The sequence below is a fragment of the Homo sapiens genome, chromosome 3 (genome assembly GCF_000001405.40).
Source record: "Homo sapiens chromosome 3, GRCh38.p14 Primary Assembly".
Taxonomy (NCBI): domain Eukaryota; kingdom Metazoa; phylum Chordata; class Mammalia; order Primates; family Hominidae; genus Homo; species Homo sapiens.
The window spans coordinates 173,644,008-173,663,243 of record NC_000003.12 but is presented as its reverse complement, the minus strand read 5'-3'; the positions used below and the strand labels follow the sequence as shown (position 1 = coordinate 173,663,243).

The 19,236-nt window shown below is 36.2% G+C and overlaps 1 protein-coding gene and 1 pseudogene across 32 annotated transcripts in view; both read right to left on the bottom strand.

Moving 5' to 3' along the window:
- Positions 1-19,236, bottom strand: part of NLGN1 (neuroligin 1) — an 898,421-nt gene that overhangs the window by 631,129 nt on the left and 248,056 nt on the right. The window lies entirely within an intron of this gene.
- LOC112268443 (transmembrane protein 229B-like) lies at positions 16,365-19,103 on the bottom strand (annotated as a pseudogene).

The window sequence follows — 19,236 nt, the reverse complement described above, 5'->3', positions numbered from 1 at the left end:
AGTCTTACAACAATGAAAGGAAGATACAACTAAACACTTTTTCAGATGAGAGCACTGAGACTCAGAAATGAGAAAGAAGTTGTCTGAAGTCATATAACTATTAAATGATAAAGTCAGGATATGAACCCAAGTTCACCTACTCCAAAGTCCATGCATTTACCATCTATCCCACTGAATTTTGAAATGGAAAATAATTATTTATAGTTAAGTATCAAATGATGCTTTTAAAATGCATAATAAACTGACTTACAACTTCCCTGCAGTGTGCTTTATACTTGGTATAAAAATAAGACTCCCAGGCTAGTTCCTCTGTACTTTAATGTGCATAGTTAGTTTAGGATTTCTCCAAATACCTATGGAAAAGTATACTGTTGACATTTTGGGCAGGAAAATTTTGTGTTGGGGTTATGGAGTTACCTTGTGAATTGTGAGATTTAAAACAGCATTCCTAGTCTTTATGTAATAGAGATACCAGTAGCATCTCCCAATTTGTGACAACCAAAAATGTCTTATTTTGAGAATGCCAAAATGTCTTAAGTTGAGAACCACTGATATGAGTTAAAGGAAATTGATGAAATCATATGCTAATGGCTAAGAAAGACCCGAATGAAAACATCTGGAATCCTTCCAAAGATTCACAGAAAATCAAACATCTATTATTTCAAAAGGAGTAAGAATAGAAAACAACAGAGCCATCTTGAAATACACAGATACTTCAAATGGATAAATTATGAATAAACTTTAAGCTGCACAAATTATTCCAATAATTTTTAATATACTTCATGAAATTAAACATAGATGAACAGATATTGAGATTTCATGACTGATAGACACCTTAAATTGTACAACCTCCTCATTTCTTAGGTGAGAAAACTAAGATAAAGTGATTTGGTCAAGGCTGACATACTTTTTAAATGTAGCAGAACTATGTCTAGAAGCAAATTATTTTAGTCTCAGTTCATTATTACTGCCGTATGTATTAACTTTAGGATTCCATAAATAGCTCTGTAAGGGCCTATTTGGCAATGGAATTGGGCACTCATACTTTTCTTCTTAAGATAATGTTCTTTGTCATCAATGCTTGTGAGCTGAAAGAGGTATTCAGCAGCCATGGATAAAGTGAAAGATAACTTGTTTATCCTTCAGTGGAAGGGGAAGAGAATTATAAGCCATACACGGAGAGTCAAATGATTAAGGAATTTACTAGGTACAAACAGTTGCGTGACTCTTGTCATTTGAGTTCTAACAGAACAGACCAATGCCTTCAGCAATCAGCCTACAGCAATTTAATTAATAAAGTCCTGCTGTGGTCTGATTCGCCAAGGTTCCAAATGCTATTGCATGCACCCTGCTTCCTGCTCTGATTTGCCTGTTACCATGCTCATGGTATAAACAGATGGCTATTTATATTAACGATATGGGTAAACTTATCTTTTAATCAATGAAATGGTATTCTAACGACTTTCGCTAAGTGGCCCAAAATGCCAGATTATGCTATTTACTAATGATTCCATATTGTTTATAGTTATGAATTGTAACTTTATTAAGAGATAGCTTAAGATAAGGAATAGTACACATTTCTCTAATCACAACATAAACTTATGTCTGATGAAACAGCTTTAGCAAGACACAGGCCAAATACCTAATCAAAGAAGAAATTCTTTTTTCAAATGGTGGAAGGTAAACTCAGTATCCTAAGGGGAATTATTCCTGCTCTATAATCTCGCTTACCACTATGTGGTGTAATAATAACTAGGTACCTTTACCACAATTTGGGAGGCTTCTTCACCCAGTGCTGAGAACCTGGACTTTGAAGTCAGACAGATGTACAGTCAAATCCAAATGCTCCCACCTATGAGCCATGGAATGTTAGGAAAGGTATTTATCTTCTTTGACCTCAACTTATCCATCTGAAAAACGTGGATAACATCAGTCACCTTTTATTGAGACACATTGCAGTAAGCCATTAATAAACTTGAAGCATTATAAATATCAGTCATCAAATGAGTTTCTTTCTTAGAATCCTAGAGAAACTATACAAAATTTTTCAGCTCGCTCACTACTCTACTTTGAATTCCTTTGATCCTATCCATCTACATATTTCTTTCATTAGTTCATTTCCCTCCATCTCTGCCGCTAACACACAGAATGAAAGGCATGAACAATCTCAAGTGGATTACTGGCACACACCCTTCACTGGACACTACTCATTCACGTTTGCTTTTCAGTCTTTTCAGATAATATTTTATGAGTGCTCTCACACTCCCTTTGTTTATAAATGAGGAAACTCAGGCCCAGGGAAGTTCATTAACTTGAGACTACATGAAGAGGTAATGTTTGAGTCTGAAATTAAGCCAAACTTCTTTTCAGCACACCATGGTGCATCCAAGTATAATGTGAAGAGGATGGGTTGGGAACACTTAGATAAAATATGAACCAGTATTTTCTCACCAGTCAAAAGGACTTGACAGTGGAGAACATGATATATTTTGGTGCTCATTTTTTTCATTTTATACTAGTAGTAGAATTTGAGCATTTTAACAGTGTTTAGATAAGAAGTAATACATTAAAGCAGTTTTTGTCCCATGTAATTGTTTGGTTTTTACCTTCAGGTTGTAAAGCTGAATTAGTATTTAAAGTATTATATTCCAAAGATCACTTAGTATGGCATTCTCCCCTTAATTGACTGTAATGCTTTTGATCTTCAGCCATCCAAGCAATTTAATAGTTTCAATAACTTTCTAGAGGTGAAAATAATGTATATATATTCAGAAACTTTTAACATAGAATTTGGAAGTTGGGGAACCTGAATTTCAATGCATGAACCTAGAAAATGTAATGAATTGACTTCTAAGTATGTTTTTTATTTGAAAAAAAAAATAAAATAAGGAGATGATTGGTCCATTGTGGTATTCTGTCTTTCTTTGATAACCAGCTTCCCCCTACCAATAGCTGTGATAACTGAAACAAGTGTTCCTTGGATGTCAATTGACTTTAATGAGTGATTCATTGCACAATGGAAACTACTTTGCATTCCCTCTAGATGCTTTCACTGTGTGGAAAAGATAAAGCTCTATTTAGCTTGGGGCTGACACAGTGGAACATAATTCACCTGCCTCCGCTGTCTCTACGAATAGCAAGAATAACCACTCATTTTACTAGAACATGTACCACATTTTCTCTCACTATGTCCTCAGAATAGGAGACCTATACAAATCAACAAAGTATAGAAGGAGGAAACTTGCATATCTGCCAGTTAAGGACAAGTATGTAAATTCAGAATAAAACACCTATGACTTTCAGGAGTCACATTTAGCCTGCAAGATGGTTATTAAGGTAGTGGACTTTTGTGATAAGGAATTTCAACAAAACATAGAACCAAAAACATACACCTCCTCGTTAAAACCAAACACAAGCATGCAAATGATGAAAGCAGTGAAGAAACCACCACCCCCTTCTAAACACACATACACACACACATACACACGCACACAGAAGCCCAGAGAATCATAAATAAGAAACCATAAGGTACACACCATGATTTGAAGCTAGCAGTGCTCTAAATTTGTGAATCAGAGATCAAGGCATCACAATGGTTTTTTTAATATACATATATATATAATAAACCCAATATGTTAGCTGGCAAAGAAGACTCTGTGGCCCAAGGCTATTTTTTAAACTGCTGCTCTGGAAGTTTCTAAGTGCTAAATGACTCTGGTCATACTTACTTGCCTTTTAAATGACTCCCACATGGTTAATATTTCTGAAATATCCCTGTACACACTAGGTAAATGGTTATGTCATGCAGTGATTGTCATTTCAGCTGTCACAAAGAGTTGGACACTTCAGCAAATAGAGGAGACAGCAAATAAAATGGTCTTAGGTATCACCAATTTGTTCATTTGAAAAAAGTTACAAAACAAATGCCCTTTCTTTAATATGGTTTGTTTTTAATAGCTTATACATCACCATTGAGTATAATGTAAGAATGAGAATGCATACCTCTAAATTTGACACCTTCCTAAACTCTAAAATTCTTCTACATTTAGGTTTTATTTTCACTGGATATTTTATTATTACTCGCACTGGTTATTGCTCTCAATAATGCTAATGGTAAGACAAAATTTTTTGGTAAAAATGAGTAGTGGCAATAGAAGTTAGGGGACTCACCTGCCTAATGAGATAATGCAAGGCTTCAAGCTTCTGGAGTTACACTTCTCTGTTAAAGAGAAGACCAAAACAATTGTGTGCTTATCTTCACAGAAGCATCAGATAAGGTTAACTGTACTCTTCGAATAATTTTCTTATTTTATGGGATAGTTTTACAAACATTTTGAGGATGAACCTCCATTCCATGCATGTGTATAAACCATACAAATGTAGTGCTGTATGAATAGATTATAAAGTACATTATAGAACATGCAAAGATATTTTGGCCCAGTGGATCATTTGGGGCCTCTTCGTAGAGCAGTACTCTAGCACTGGAATCAACACCATGCCTACATACCCTTGAAACAGGACCCTGGGAGAGACTAGCAAGGGTAATCCCAAGGAAGTCTTAGTTTAGAAGCAGCAAGCTTTGAATGAACCAAAGCAAAGTAGCAAGAAGGCTGTGATGCCTTCACTGAATCATTTTTCCCGGTTCTGTAAGACTGTACAACTAAGAATGGACTCATCAGAAGTCATCTGAAGGAGAAGGATAGTTCTATGCTATTTCCAAATTAATTTTACAGTAGTCATAAAACTTCAATATAAAGATTAGAAGTAGGACTACCTGAGAATGGAACAAATTCGGATTATTGCTCTTGTATGTCACTAGCCTGGATTCTACTCTGAAGCACAACTGCTGTTCTTAATTCTCTTCAAAACTTGTCTATCCCAAGCTATTTCTCTCTCCTGTAAAGCAATTAATGGAATTACACCCAACAGAGACTCAACAAAGGAGTAATTTAGGTTATGACAGCTTCCTAATCACATACCTGGTAGCAACAGACCTATGGAAAATGAGAAGTAGTTAGGACATCTATCTGCAAAGACCCGATATCTCTTTGATTGTTCATAGTTTTATATGGGGTGCCTTGGACTTATAGTATAAATATGTATAGCCACAGCATCTACTAATAATGTAGACTGTCACCATGCCTGTTAAATTTCTCTAACTACCATACGAAAGTTACACCATTTTTAGTTCTTTAATTACCTATGTTTTATTGATAGGGTTCCTAAAACCTATTTTTTTCCCAAGTCCCTTTACTGGATATTGCTGAAAGTCACCATGCACTTACAAACTTAAGTTTATTACTCTACCAGTACAATCAGGCATAAACTTGTCACATTCATCAGATTTTATATGAAAAAAAGGAGAGTCATAAGAAAATCTAGGAAGTATTAATACATTGCTGACAAGGATCATCACCAATACTCTTCAAAATTAATATCCATTAATTTTGGCTTCCTTCCTACCTTCCTTCCCTCTTCCTTCTTTCTTCCATCCTGCTACTGAGAATAAAGTAACCAGATCTGGGGCTTTGGAGTGGGTGGGATGATTCCTATTTTTTTTAGCTGAGGGCAAAATATATGCATCACATTTTAAAACATCATAAAACAAGAGTGTGAACCAAGTTTGCAACTAATGATTTTAAGGAGAAAGCATTCACATTTTAAAAGAACAACTTCAAAGCAAAAATCTTGGGTTAGCTTTCCCCCCACTGCCCAGTGCCCCTTAAAATGACTGCAAATAATTTCTGAAAGAGGAAAAAATCTCACAATAACAAAACAAAGGGGGCAGGAGGGACAGAGAAAATGGCACTATTTTAGAAGCTAGACTGCAGAAAGACAAGAAGCAAATCCTTAGCTAAGAAAGTTGATTCCTAGGTTAGCAGTAAAGAAGGTCAAAAACCAATTCAATTTGCACTATAGAACCCCAAATGCCCCAGGAATTGGCAGCACATGGAGTTGGAAGAATGGGGAAGGCAAATCTAAAGATAGAAGGAGCTTGAAATTCTATTTAGGAAGCAGAGGATCTCCAGATTCCCTGAGACCCAGAATTTAAGGCTTTTATTTTAGATACCGTAGTGAGTGAAATTCGGGAGTTAAACACACCATGAGATCCCAAAGTTCTATGCCTAACAACCTCCTTATAAGAGTTAGATTTTAAAAACTACATGTTTTTCTTGATAATAATGAAAACTGTGTCTTCTTTTTTATATAATGGTTTACAAAGCATTTTTACATTTATTGTCTAATGTAATCTTTACAGCAATCCTTTCTGGTAGGTAAGACAAAATGATTTCCTCGTCTTTGAGATGAGGAAGAAGCTGTCAACTTGTCAGTTGTAAAATCCTGCAGAGTAGTATGCAAAGTCTTCAAACCTTCACTTTCTTGTAGCTTAGATTGCCCTTTGATCCCTTTCCTACAGGTCTACTTGTCTAAGAAAGTAATTTGCCCTCTTTGGTGTTCATAACAATCCTTTGAGAAGCTTTTAAAAAATAACCCAGTCCCCAAAATTCTCATTGGGTAAGACTGAGCTGAGGACCTGGAATGTACATTTTAACAAATTATTCATGTGATTTTAATTCAGATAGTGGTGGGGGTCATCTTCTGAAAACAACTTCATTAAGAATTCTAATTGTCACCAGAGGAGAAGGCAACACATCTGGACCACGTTAGCTGGGTCTCACCAACAGCAAATGAACAAACAAATGAATAAAATAATCCAAAACCAAACACCAACTTACATTTTCACTAAGTGACATTTGCGTAGTACACCTATGACTTTCATCAAAAGTGGGTGGGATATGAGAGACATCTCTGTATGTTTTGCAAAAGCTCTGTAGAGAGTATTATTTCTGTGTAGGTAGGAACCACCCAATGGATGCTTTTCAGAATTCAGGACAAGGAAAAGAAAATAGTTATGAGCTCTAATTAACTTAGAATACTTTTAATCAGTGCTCCTTTTTGTCTTGCCTACCAGCAAGCTCAAAACAAAATTTGATATTACAAAGTTTTAGGCATATGTGAAGCAGGAGAATGGGGTCTGGATGCAGGAAACCTAAGGACTTCCTAAAACTAAATCAAAGGGAAACACTTCAGCTATGACAGGAAATATCCTCTCCATTTACATAGGACAAACACCGAGTAAATGACTTTGTAACTTTCCTTCATCCTCTTCATTTACATAGGGTGTACATCAAGTAACCAATGGAAACCTCTTGAGGATATTTAAACCCCCAAAAAATTCTTTAACAGGGCTCTTGAGCCCCTATGCTTGGGCCCACTGCCACTCTGTGGAGTGTACTTTCATTTTCAATGAATCTCTGCTTTTGTTGCTTCATTCTTTCCTTGCTTTGTCTGTGCATTTTGTCCAATTCTTTGTTCAAGTTGCCAAGAACCTGGACACCATCCACTGGTAACATATGCACTTTTCCATTGAGAACCTCACGCTCTCATACAGTCATATACATGTAGTGTCAGATTTTTTTTTTTTTAATTTTAACTGTCTTATTATACATGAATTTTTAAAAGCTATCTTAAAATCATTTGAGATGTAGGTAGGGTACAAAGTATAAATAAATACACCTGAGAAATAAGAAATAAACAAATTCATCCAGAAATAATTTCAACGTGAAGAAAGAACAGAGAACTAGAGGTTTGAAGTGGTAGATTTTTTTTTTCAAAACATCATTCTTTCAGGCACAGTTGGTAAGTACACCTGTCATATATGCTTCCAAAAATGTAGCTCAAAATGATAACATACTGAGAGAAAAACAAATCTTGGGAATAGAAAATTCATTTGTTATAACCAGTTTTACGTACACTCTCTCAAAATAGCCATCTGTACTAAAATGTGTACATAACAGAATGACTTGCTGCAATACAAAAAGGTTCATATATATATTTAGGCTTTGGAACTTTCTAAAGGCTCGAAAACTTCTCTGAAGCACCTTTCATACTTTCTACAGAGGTGCTTTATATAAGTGAATAAGAGTTTATGTAAAGAAACAGCAGCTGCTTAAATAAATCCTATTACAGTGTTGCCTGCTCTATTTTTTCCTTTTTTCTTTCCGTTAAAATACTTATTTAGCTTTTCCCCTTCTGAGGTCCTCCCTGCATTTTAATTTTATTTAACAAACTTCTGCAAGGTGCAAACTATATGCTATTACTTTCCTTTGTGCTTTATGAGTATTAACTTATTGAATACTCATAGAAAACTATAATGGAAGCAAAAATTTCCCAAGGTCATATGGCTACCATGGAAGAGCTGAGATCTGAAACCAAGGAGTCTGGCTTCAGTATCTGTGACCACACTGTATACACTACTGGCTCTATGCTTACATATATGACTGAAAAACGCAATGCTAAGCAGAGAAAAATACATCATCCATCCATTAATTCTTTTCCTCCTATGCAAACTGGATATCTGTCTAACTACATTGGCCATTTCAATCAAATTGCCTGAAGAATCCTCTTGCAGTTCTCAGATATCTATCTATAGATGCTGATTTTATTTTAGAAAAAAAAGGAAAATGCTTCAAAATGTATACATAATTCTTCAATCCTAACATATTATTTGACTTAGCAATAGCTTTTGGACGGTAGGAGAGTCACTACATTAAACATATATATCAATCACAAGAAGCATCCAAGTTGAGAAATATTAGTTTAAAAGGATGAAACTTAGAACCAAGAAAACAATGTAATAATGTAATCCCTACTTTTTATAGGTTTCTCCTTCTATTTACTTATAATAGGGACCTGATGCATAGGTAGATTTTTAACTGCCTTGAACTCTTATTTGAAGTATACAGGATAAGAGTAACAATTTATTTTAATTATTAGAAACTATTCATTTTACTAAACAAGTATAATGTTATGCTATTCAGGATTAATGTTTTATAAGATATTACTAGTATTATTAAGGTGTTTAAGGTAAAATGCTTATTTAAATAGACTGTATTACAATCCTCTAAACGTTATTTTTAATAGAATAGGGTAGAAAAATGAAGGTATAAAGAGTATTTGATGACAACTTAGTGCAAAGCGGAAAGTTTAAAAATTATCCATCCAGTTTTAATTCTCCCTAAGATAATTTTTCTGGCTTATAACAACAGTAATCTTTAATAATTATTCAGTTTTTGTCAAACAAATCTGAAATTTGAGTAGGGCTTATTGAGGATGACTCAACTCAGTTCCATATGGCATCAGCTGGGTGATTCTATTAGGGCTAGAGGATCCACCTCTAAGAAGACTCACTCATGTGGCTATCCGGTTGGTAGTGGCTATTGACTCAGCCAAGGTTGCTGACAAGGATAATTGGCTCCTGTTCATGTGGCTTGTACAGGGAGCTGCTTGGACTTCCTAACAGCATGGTGTCTGGGTCCTAAGAGGTTGCTAGAAAGGAACTTCCTCAGTTCCTAAAACTGAGGTTCCTAGACCTAGAAAGTGTCTGTGAGGCTTTTTCTGCCCAAGCCTCTAAGTCTCAGAATGTCACTTCTACACTCCAATAGACAAGCAAATCATAATGGCCAGCTCAGACTCCAGGGAGGGGAAATCAGATTCCATGTCTCAATACATAAATAGCAAATAATTTATAGCTATCTTGTAATCAACTATATCAATATATAAATTGAACATAATGTTTATAAAAATGCGAAGTTTTCATTTTCTTAAACTAAAAAGTTGGGGCTAACATTTTTGTCAATAAATGTAATTCATCATATAAACAAAGTTAAGGACAGAAAGCATATGATCATCTCAATAAATTCAGAAAAAGCATTTAATAGAATTCAGCATTCCTTCATGATGAAGACCCTTAACAAACTAGGCAAAGAAGAAATACACCTCAAAATAATATAGGCCAAATATGCTAACCCACAGCCAATGTCATACTTAATAAAAATAGTTGAAAGCATTCCTTTTAAAACTAGAACAAGACAAGGATTTTACAATTACACCAGTCCTATGCAACACAGTACTGGAAGTCCTAGCCAGAGCAATCAGGAAAGAGAAATAAATAAAAGGCATCCAAATCGGAAAAGAGGAAGTTGTATTATCTCTGTTTACTGATGATATGATGTTATATCTATAAAACCCTAACGACTTTGCAAAAGAACCTCTTAGATTTGATAAATAAATTCAGTGAAGTTTCAGAATACAAAATAGATATACAAAAATCAGTAGCATTTTTATACACTAACAACAATGAAACCGAGAACAAAATCAAGAAGGTAATCCCATTTATAATAGCTACCTAAAAAATACCTAGCAGCATATTTAAACAAGAGGTGAAAGATCTCTACAAGGGAAGCTACAAAAGTCTGAGGAAAGAAATCATAGAGGACACCAACAAATGCAAAAATATCCCACATTCATGAATTGGAAGAATCAATATTGTTAAAATGACCATAGTGCCTAAAGCAATCTACAGATTCAATGCAATTTCTAACCAAAATATCAATGTCATGTTTCAAAGAATTAGAGAAAACATCCTAAAATGTATACGGAACCAAAAAAGAGCTCGAATAGCCAAAGCAACCCTAAGCAAAAAGGACAAAGCTGGAAGCAACACATTACCTGACCTCAAATTGTACTACAAGACTATAGTAACTATAACAGCATAGTACTGGTATACAAACAGACAAATAGATCAACGGAACAGAATTGAGATCCCAGAGGTTAAGCTACATATCTATAGCCAACAGATTGACAAAAACGTACACCAGGGAAAGGACAGCCTTTTCAAATGGTGCTGGGAATTGCCATATGTAGAATAATGAAACTGGACCCCTCTCTCACACCCAACACAAAAATCAACTCAAGATGGAATAAAGACTTAAATGTAAGACCCGAAACTATCAAAATGATAGACAAAAACCTAAGGAAAATTCTTCTGGATATTTTCCCAGGCAAGGCATTCATGACTAAGATCTCAAAAGCACAAGCAACAAAACCAAAAATAAACAAATGGGACTCAGAGAAACTAAAAGTTCCTGCACAGCAAAAGAAATAATCAACGGAGTGAACAGACAGCCTATGTAACAGACAAAATACTTGCAGACTATGTATCTGACAGTGGACTAATATCCAAAATTTATAAGAAACTCAAACTCAACAATAACAACCAAATAACCCAATTAAAAAGTGGGCAAAGGGGCCGGGCATGGTGGCTCACACCTGTAACGCCAGCACATTGGGAGGCTGAGGCAGGCAGATTACTTGATGTCAGGAGTTTGAAACCGGCCTGGCCAACATGGTGAAATCCCATCTCTACTAGAAAACACAAAAATTAGCTGGGCATGGTGGTGTGTGCCTGTAATCCCAACTACTCAGGAAGCTGAGGCAGGAGAATCGCTTGAACCCAGGAGTTGGAGGTTGCAGTGAGCCAAGACCACGCCACTGCACTCCAGCCTGGGTGACAGACAGACTCTGTCTCAAAAAACAAAACAAAAAAAATGGGCAAAGAACATGAGTAGACATTTTTCAAAAGAAGACATACAAATGGTCAACAAGCATAAAAAAAAATGCTCAACATCACTAACCATCAGAGATATGCAAACTAAAACCACAATGAGGTATCATCTTATACCAGTCAGAATGGCTATTATTAAAGTCAAAAAATAACAAATGTTGGTGAGGATGCAGAGAAAAAGAAATACATATACACTGCTACGGGGAATGTAAATTAGTAAGACCTCTATGGAAAACAGTATGAAGACTTCTCAAAGAAATAAGAATAGAACTACCATTCAATCCAGCAATCCCACTACTGGGTATCTACCCAGTGGAAAAGAAATCATTATATCAAAAATATCTGCTCTCTTATGTTTATCACAACACTATTCACAATAGCAAAGATATGGAATCAACCTAACTGTCCATCAACAGATGAGCGAATAAAAAAGTAATATATATATAACAACTTATTATATATACATATATATAACACATAAATATTGAATATATATGGGATACTATTCAGCCATATAAAGAATGAAATCATACATGGATAGAACTAGAGGTCATTATCTTAAGAGGAAACAACTCAGAAACAGCAAGTCAAACACTACCCATTCCCACCTAGAAATGGGAGCTAAACAGCGTGTAGACATGAACATACAGAGTGGAATAATGGATACTGGAGACTTGGAGGGGTAGGAGGGTGGGAGACAGGTGAGGGATGAATAATTACTTAATGGATACAATGTATATTATTCAAGTGAGGCTTACATTAAAAGCCCAGACTTCAACACTACACAATTTATCCATGTATCAAAAATGCACTTGTACTCCTTAAATTTATACAAATAATAAAAAAAAAAAATAAACAGGCAAGGAGTTAGAAAATCCCTCCAAAAATAACAAGAGGCAGTAGCAGTCCTGCCAAATATAAAAGCATACTCTATAACCACCATAATTAAAAGCATATGAGGTTTCTCCAATGAACAAAATAGATTACCAGAAATCTACTTAAGAATGTATGAAAACTTCGTGTATAGTAAAGGTAGCATCTCAGTTCACTGTTGAAAACATAAATATTTGTAATAAATTATGTTGAGACAACTGAATACTTATTTCACAACCTAACATTACTCACCACAATAAGTTCCAAATGAAACAAGAATTTTGGTGAATAAAAAAGTAAACCATATAGACACCACTCATTATCACAAAGATACAAATTTAATGCACAATGTGATACCATTCCTAACCTGTTGTATTTGCAAACTTTAAAGTTTGACAATACATACATAGGCGGGAGTCAGGTATAGATTCTGGAGCAAGTGTAAACTATACAATAACCATTGTGGTGAAATCTGTATTATCTTCCACAACAGAAACAGTTCCCTTTCTAGGAATTTCCCCTAAAAATAAACTTCCTATATCTATTCCAGATCTATATCTACATTCATATTTATCTATATCTATGCAAGAGTTTATTCATTGTGCCATCATTTGGAAAGGCAAAATAGTGAAAACTGTCATAGGATGCCATCCATAGGAAGCTAATTTGAGTGAATAATGATGAGTAGGAAGTATGTAGCTGAAGATGAATGAAGTGGATATTCATGGTCTGTGTTACATCTAAGATGTATTAAGTTAAAAAAAATCAAACTGTAAGAAAGTTGATAAAGATATTGCACAGTATGCCACTATTTGTGTAACAAATGAGAAATAAGAAATAAGTATGCATACATACACGTATATACATATGCAAATATAAAAAATATAAATTTAGGTTTTTTTGCAAAAAGAAATTAAGAATATAGTATCCTTTTATGAGGTAAATGGAAATGGTAAGTGAAAAGATTATTATGGGAGAAATATTTGAGTATACATTTTCATATAGTTTTATTTTGAAAAACTATATTTTTTAAATAAGAACTCAAGTAATTTGAACACAGTTTTCTTATTGAACACTTTAAGTGTACTTTAATGGTTTATATCATATGGACCAAAAGAACTACAAGAAACCTTTAATTTTTACTTTTATGATATTCTTTTAGTAATAGTATAGATACAATCCTAAAACCAACTTTCTCTCTCTTTCTCTCTAGGTCTGTGTGTGATTATAGTTGCCTGTGTGTTGTGAGATAGAACGATAAGTACCTATTTTAACTTTATTAGGAACTAGTTTTCACGGTGAGAAAAGGAGAACACTAGGAGGGAATGTGAAGGTGAAAAAGAATCTTATGGCATTTCATTTGAATTTAAAATAACAATGTGGACTCAACATTTTTTAACTGCTTTGTTCAGGTATAATTGACACATAAAAAATTGCGCATATTTAAAATATGTAATTTGATATGTTTTGACATATGTATTGACATATGTATGACATGTATATGTAATAGTTACATAGACATGTAACTTGTAATAGTTACAAAATGTAACTTGTAACATGTAATAGTTACATGTCTATGTAACTATTACTGCAATCAAGATTGTATCCTTATCTATCACTCCCAACAGTGTTCTTATATTCTTTGGAATCCCTCTCTCTCTTCCCCAGTGTCCCATCCAGCAACCACTCATATTCTTTCTGTTACTATAGTTTGCATTTTCTAAAGTTTTATACTAATGGAATTATCCAGTATATACTCTTGCCAAGGAGAGAATCTGACTTCTTTCATTCAGCATAATTATTTTAATATTCAATAGTTAATTCCTTCTTATTACTGAGTTGTATTCCATTTTATGCTTATTTCACAATTTATCTGTTCATCTGCTGATGAATATTTAGGTTGTTTTGGGTTTCATACTAATAGAAATAAAGGTTCTATGAACATTCATGCACAAATTTTTTAATAGACACATGCTTTCTTTTTTCTTGGTTAAATACTGATGAGTGGGATGGTTGGATCTTATAGTAGGGCTGAGCGTGGTGGCTCATGCCTGTAATCCCAGCACTTTGGGATGCCAAGGTGGGTGGATCACCTGAGGTCAGGAATTTGAGACCAGCCTGACCAACGTGGTGAAATCCCATCTCTACTAAAAATACAAAAATTAGCTGGGTGTGGTGGTGCATGCCTGTAATCTCAGCTACTCAGGAAGGTGAGACACAAGAATGGCTTGAATCCAGGAGGCAGAGGTTGCAGTGAGCTGAGATAGGGCCCCTGCACTCCAGCCTGGGCAATAAAGTGAGACTTTGTCTAAAAAAAAAAGAAAGAAAGAAAAAAGAAAAAGAAGAATCTACCCAGTTGTTTTCCAAAGTGGTTGTATCATTTTACATTCCCATCTGTGTACAAGAGTTTGGAATTCCTCACACCCTCCACTAACTTGGTATGATCATCTTTTTAACTTATTTTGCTACATGTAAAGTGGTATCTCATTTTTGCTGTCATTTGCATTTCACAGCATGTGCTTATTTCTTATCTCTTATCTCCTTTGGTGAAGCATTGTTTAAATATTTTGACTGGTTTTTATTTTGTATTTTGGTTTCTTATTATTGTGTTTAGAGATTTTGTTATACATTTTGGGTATAAATCCTTTACAGATATATTATTTGAAAATATTTTCTCTCAATTTGTAGCATATCTGTTCATCCTCTTAATGAAGTCATTTGATTTAAATTTTGGTGGTGTCCAGTTTATCATTTTTTTTTTCTGGAATTCAAGTAGTGTTAATTCTACTTTGTTCTTTTTCAGTGTTGTTTTAAAAATTCTAGGTTCTTTGCACTTCCATATGACTTTGAAACTCAGATTGTCAATTTCTTTCCTTTTAAGAAAAAAGGCTGATTATATTTTTATTGGTGTAACATTAAATCCATAGATTAATGGGAGAGAACTGATATCTTAATAATAGTGCCTCTTTTGTTCAAAGACCAAGGTCTATCTCCATTTATTCTGGTCTTCTTTGATTTATCTCAACAATACTTTTCTATTTTCAGAATACAGGCCTTTAACAACTTTTGTCATATTCATCCCTATGTATTTCATATTTTCATGTTATTGGCTTTGGCAGAATTTGCTCCTATTCTTCTATAATAGTTTCATAAAATGAAGCTGATGCCTTTAATTTGACCTTCCTTCTTTTCTAATATAGGCGTTTAGTATATAAATTTTACCTTATGTCTGCTTAGGGGAAGTTCCTAAATTATGATATATTGTATTTTCATTCAGTTTAAAATATTTTCCATTTTTTTATTCTGATTTATTTTTGATCCAAGTGTTATTTGGTTTTCAAATATTTGGGAATTTTCCAGAGACTTTCTTTTATTGATTTCCATTTCAATTCCATTAAGATCAGAAAACACATTTTGCATGACTTGGATCCATTTAAATGTACTGCAACTTGTTTTGTGATCCAGAATATTGCTTATCTTGGTAAAAGTTCTGTGCATGCTTGAAAAGAATGAGTATTTTGCTCCTGTTGGGTGGGATGTTTTATATATATGTCAATTATGTCAAATTGGTTATTAGTATTGCTCAAATCTTCTATATTCTTATTGATCTTCTGTCTACTGATTCTATCAATTACAGAAAAAAGGGTATTTCAATTTCTGATTAAAATTTTGTATTTGTCTGTTTCTCCTTGAAGTTTGATCAGGTTTTGATTTATGTATTTTGAAGCTCTATTATTAGAAGCATAAGCATTTAGGCTTGTTATGTCTTCTTGATGGATTAACCCCTTTATCATTTTGAAGTGAACTTTGTCATATAATTCAAGTAATATTCTTTGTTCTGAAATTGGTATAACTGATATTAACATAGCCATTCTGGCTTTCTTTTGAGTAATGTTAACCTGGCATTTATTTTCCATTCTGTTACTTTTAACCTGTGTTTTTATATTAAAATGTATTTCTTTTAGACAGCAAAAATGTTTTAATTTTGTTTTTTATCCAATCTTGACAATCTCTGCCTTTTAAATGGAAATGTTTAAAACATTTGCCTTCAATGTGATTATTGATATGGTTAAATTTGACAGTATTTTATTATGTGTTTTCAATATGTTCCATCTGTTTATTCCCCTTTATCTATTTTTCTGCCTACCTTTGGATTAGTTGAACATTTTTATAATTCCATTTTGTATCCTTTTTTGGCTTATTAGGTGTAACTCTTTGTTTTGATATTTTAGTCATTGATTTAGGGTTTATAGTGGACATCTTTTTATTGATATGTAATAATTGTACATACTTATGGGGCACATGAGATATTTTGATACTTGCACACAATGTGTAATGATACAATCAGATTAACTGGGATATATATTACCTCAAGCATTTATTATTTTTTGTGTTGGAAACACTTCAAATCTTTTCTTCTAGCATCCAGGAAAAAATTATTCAAAAGAATTAAAGTGAACAGTGTGTGACACACACACAGGACTATAACCAATGCACATTCCTAACCAGAGAAAGTGGTGAACTCTTAATTCGTGAGGCATGGGGTAGTGTACTTAGGAAGCTCTTGCTTCAGTAGCAGGAAACGATTAGTCCTACTTTCTACTGGTGATTAATTATTCCAGCCTCCAAAAGGTCTTAATTTCACTGTAGCTATTAAAATATATTTTGTTGGGTATAGAGAATTCCACATTGATAATTTTTTTTTTGGAGGGGGTATTATTGTCATTTAAAAACGATCTATAAGAAGGGAAAGGCTAATTTCTACCTAAGTGTCTGAGTGTGGTCAAGAAGAGACCACATACCACGGGATGGACCACTTTCTGACAGACCCCTCTCCTCAGGGAATAGGGGGCAGAGCCAAAAGCGGCTAGAGTGAGGATTTCACCTGTCCACTGCCAGCAATGGGCCTGTCACAAGGAAAAGGGGGAGGGCAGAACCAAGATAACAATGCCCATGAGTGTGGCAGGGTTCAGACTGTTTAAGGAGCAAGCTCAAAGAATCTTCCTCACTGGGTGGGGGCCGAGGAGAATGGCAACCATGAGAATGCTTTGCCACAGGGCTGGGATTATGGCAGAGAAAGAACCGATCCTTTCTGACAAAGGGTGTTCCAAAGAGCTTTCCAAGGCTGAAGGACACCTCTTTTTTTCTCCCTCATTCTCCATGAGTCTCTAATACTGGATTACCTCCTCCTCCATCCCCTGGAATGCTAGATTGCTCAATTAGTTTGAAAATAAACCAGTTAGAGCCTAAGTGACTGAGAACTCTGATTTTTCCCCATGGAACTAATTTTCCTCTAGGTTACCATTGTGGATCCACAAGGCCCATCTCGGCCTGACTGTGCATTGAAGGGCATCATTCATTCTCAACTGGGCCACTGTGGAGAGGAGACACTGCCACAGCCCACTAGACCAAGAGTTGGGAAGCATAACTCAGGAATTCCCAAAGCACAAGGAATAGTGGTGCTAAAAGAGATAAAGTGGGAATAGTGGAGGAAAGCCTGCAAGAGATGGGAGGGCACTGTCATGGGGACTGAAACCTCCAAAAGCCCAATGTTGGTGGGAATCCAGCACTACGGGGGCCCCCAAAGGCCAAGGGAGCTATGCATGTCTGTGAGGGAGGGGAGAGGAGACAAGGGAAAGTCTCCCAGCTTTTGTACATCAACATTACTGCCAAGAAGCCTCCTGGCTGCCCAGTATCTCTTAAGCGACAGCTCAGCAGACCTCTGTGAAGGTACTGGTTGCAAGCAAGAACCTGAAAGTTGCCTAATGGAACCAGCCAAAGTCCAACTAAATCCAGATGAGAGGGAGGGAGGTCAGGCCTTGCCTCCTACCTGTGGCCCCATTCTCAATGTCCCTTAGCCAGGATGGCCTGCTGCTTCCAAAGTCAACTGTACAGTCCAATCACCGCTTACCCACAGCCTCCCACCACCAGCCTCTGAGCTGGGCCAAAATCCATGTATCCTTCCCTATGTTCCTCTGCTGCCTTGACACCCTGTCCCCCACCACCTGACCATGCCCCCTCAACACCTGCCCACCTTGGAGGGTATGGGGCTGTGTGTGCCCTACAGGGCTGAGGCCTGGCCAGGGCAGGGCTTGTGCTGCACAGAAGGCGCAATACACCAGCTTGGTCTCTTTGTCCATGAATTCCATAAGAGATCTCCAGAACACCCACTCATCCCTCTCTACTCTCAGTCAGTCTTGACATGGATGTTGGCCAGGGCCAGGGGTCCACTAGGCTTCCCAGGCTGGGTGTCACTGAAGCAGGGGCAGAGTGCGCTGGAGTTGTTCCATGATGAGGGACTCGCAGAACCAGGGCACAGCATACTCCAGGGTGATAGGCCCATGAAGTCAAAATGGAACTGGGAGTACTTCCAGAGGCAGGTGTTGAACTGGTGCAGGATGCAGCAAGGGGCGAACTCTCACAAGTAGGCCAGAGCCAAAGCGTGTAGATGAGGCAGCGCAGTAGCAGTGGGTAGCAGCCATGCAGACACAGGTACATGCGTCCCATGACAAGGATGGAGGTGTCATAAATGAAGAGGGCCCACATGCTTGCCTGGAACTTCCAGTTCAAGTTCATCATGGACTCCCACAGCGAGCATCACCTCGCAGAAGTAAGCCGTGGATGTCATACAGGTACCAGTAGGACAGGGCCACTGAGGCCAGGCAGATGCCAAGGTGCTGACTGGGGCTGGCTCCTTGTTTAGCCCTGGGATCTCAGTCCTGGGAAAGCTTGCAGCAGGAAGAACTGGTAGTTCAGTGGACATTGGCCCCTCTCTCTTGTCATACTGTTGAGCGCGCTGCTCAGAACAAACATCAGAATCACTGTCCAAGAGTGTCCCAGGTTAACCTTTGTTGGCTGGTCCTTGGTGCCATTCTCAGTAGGTAAGCACCAGCCCC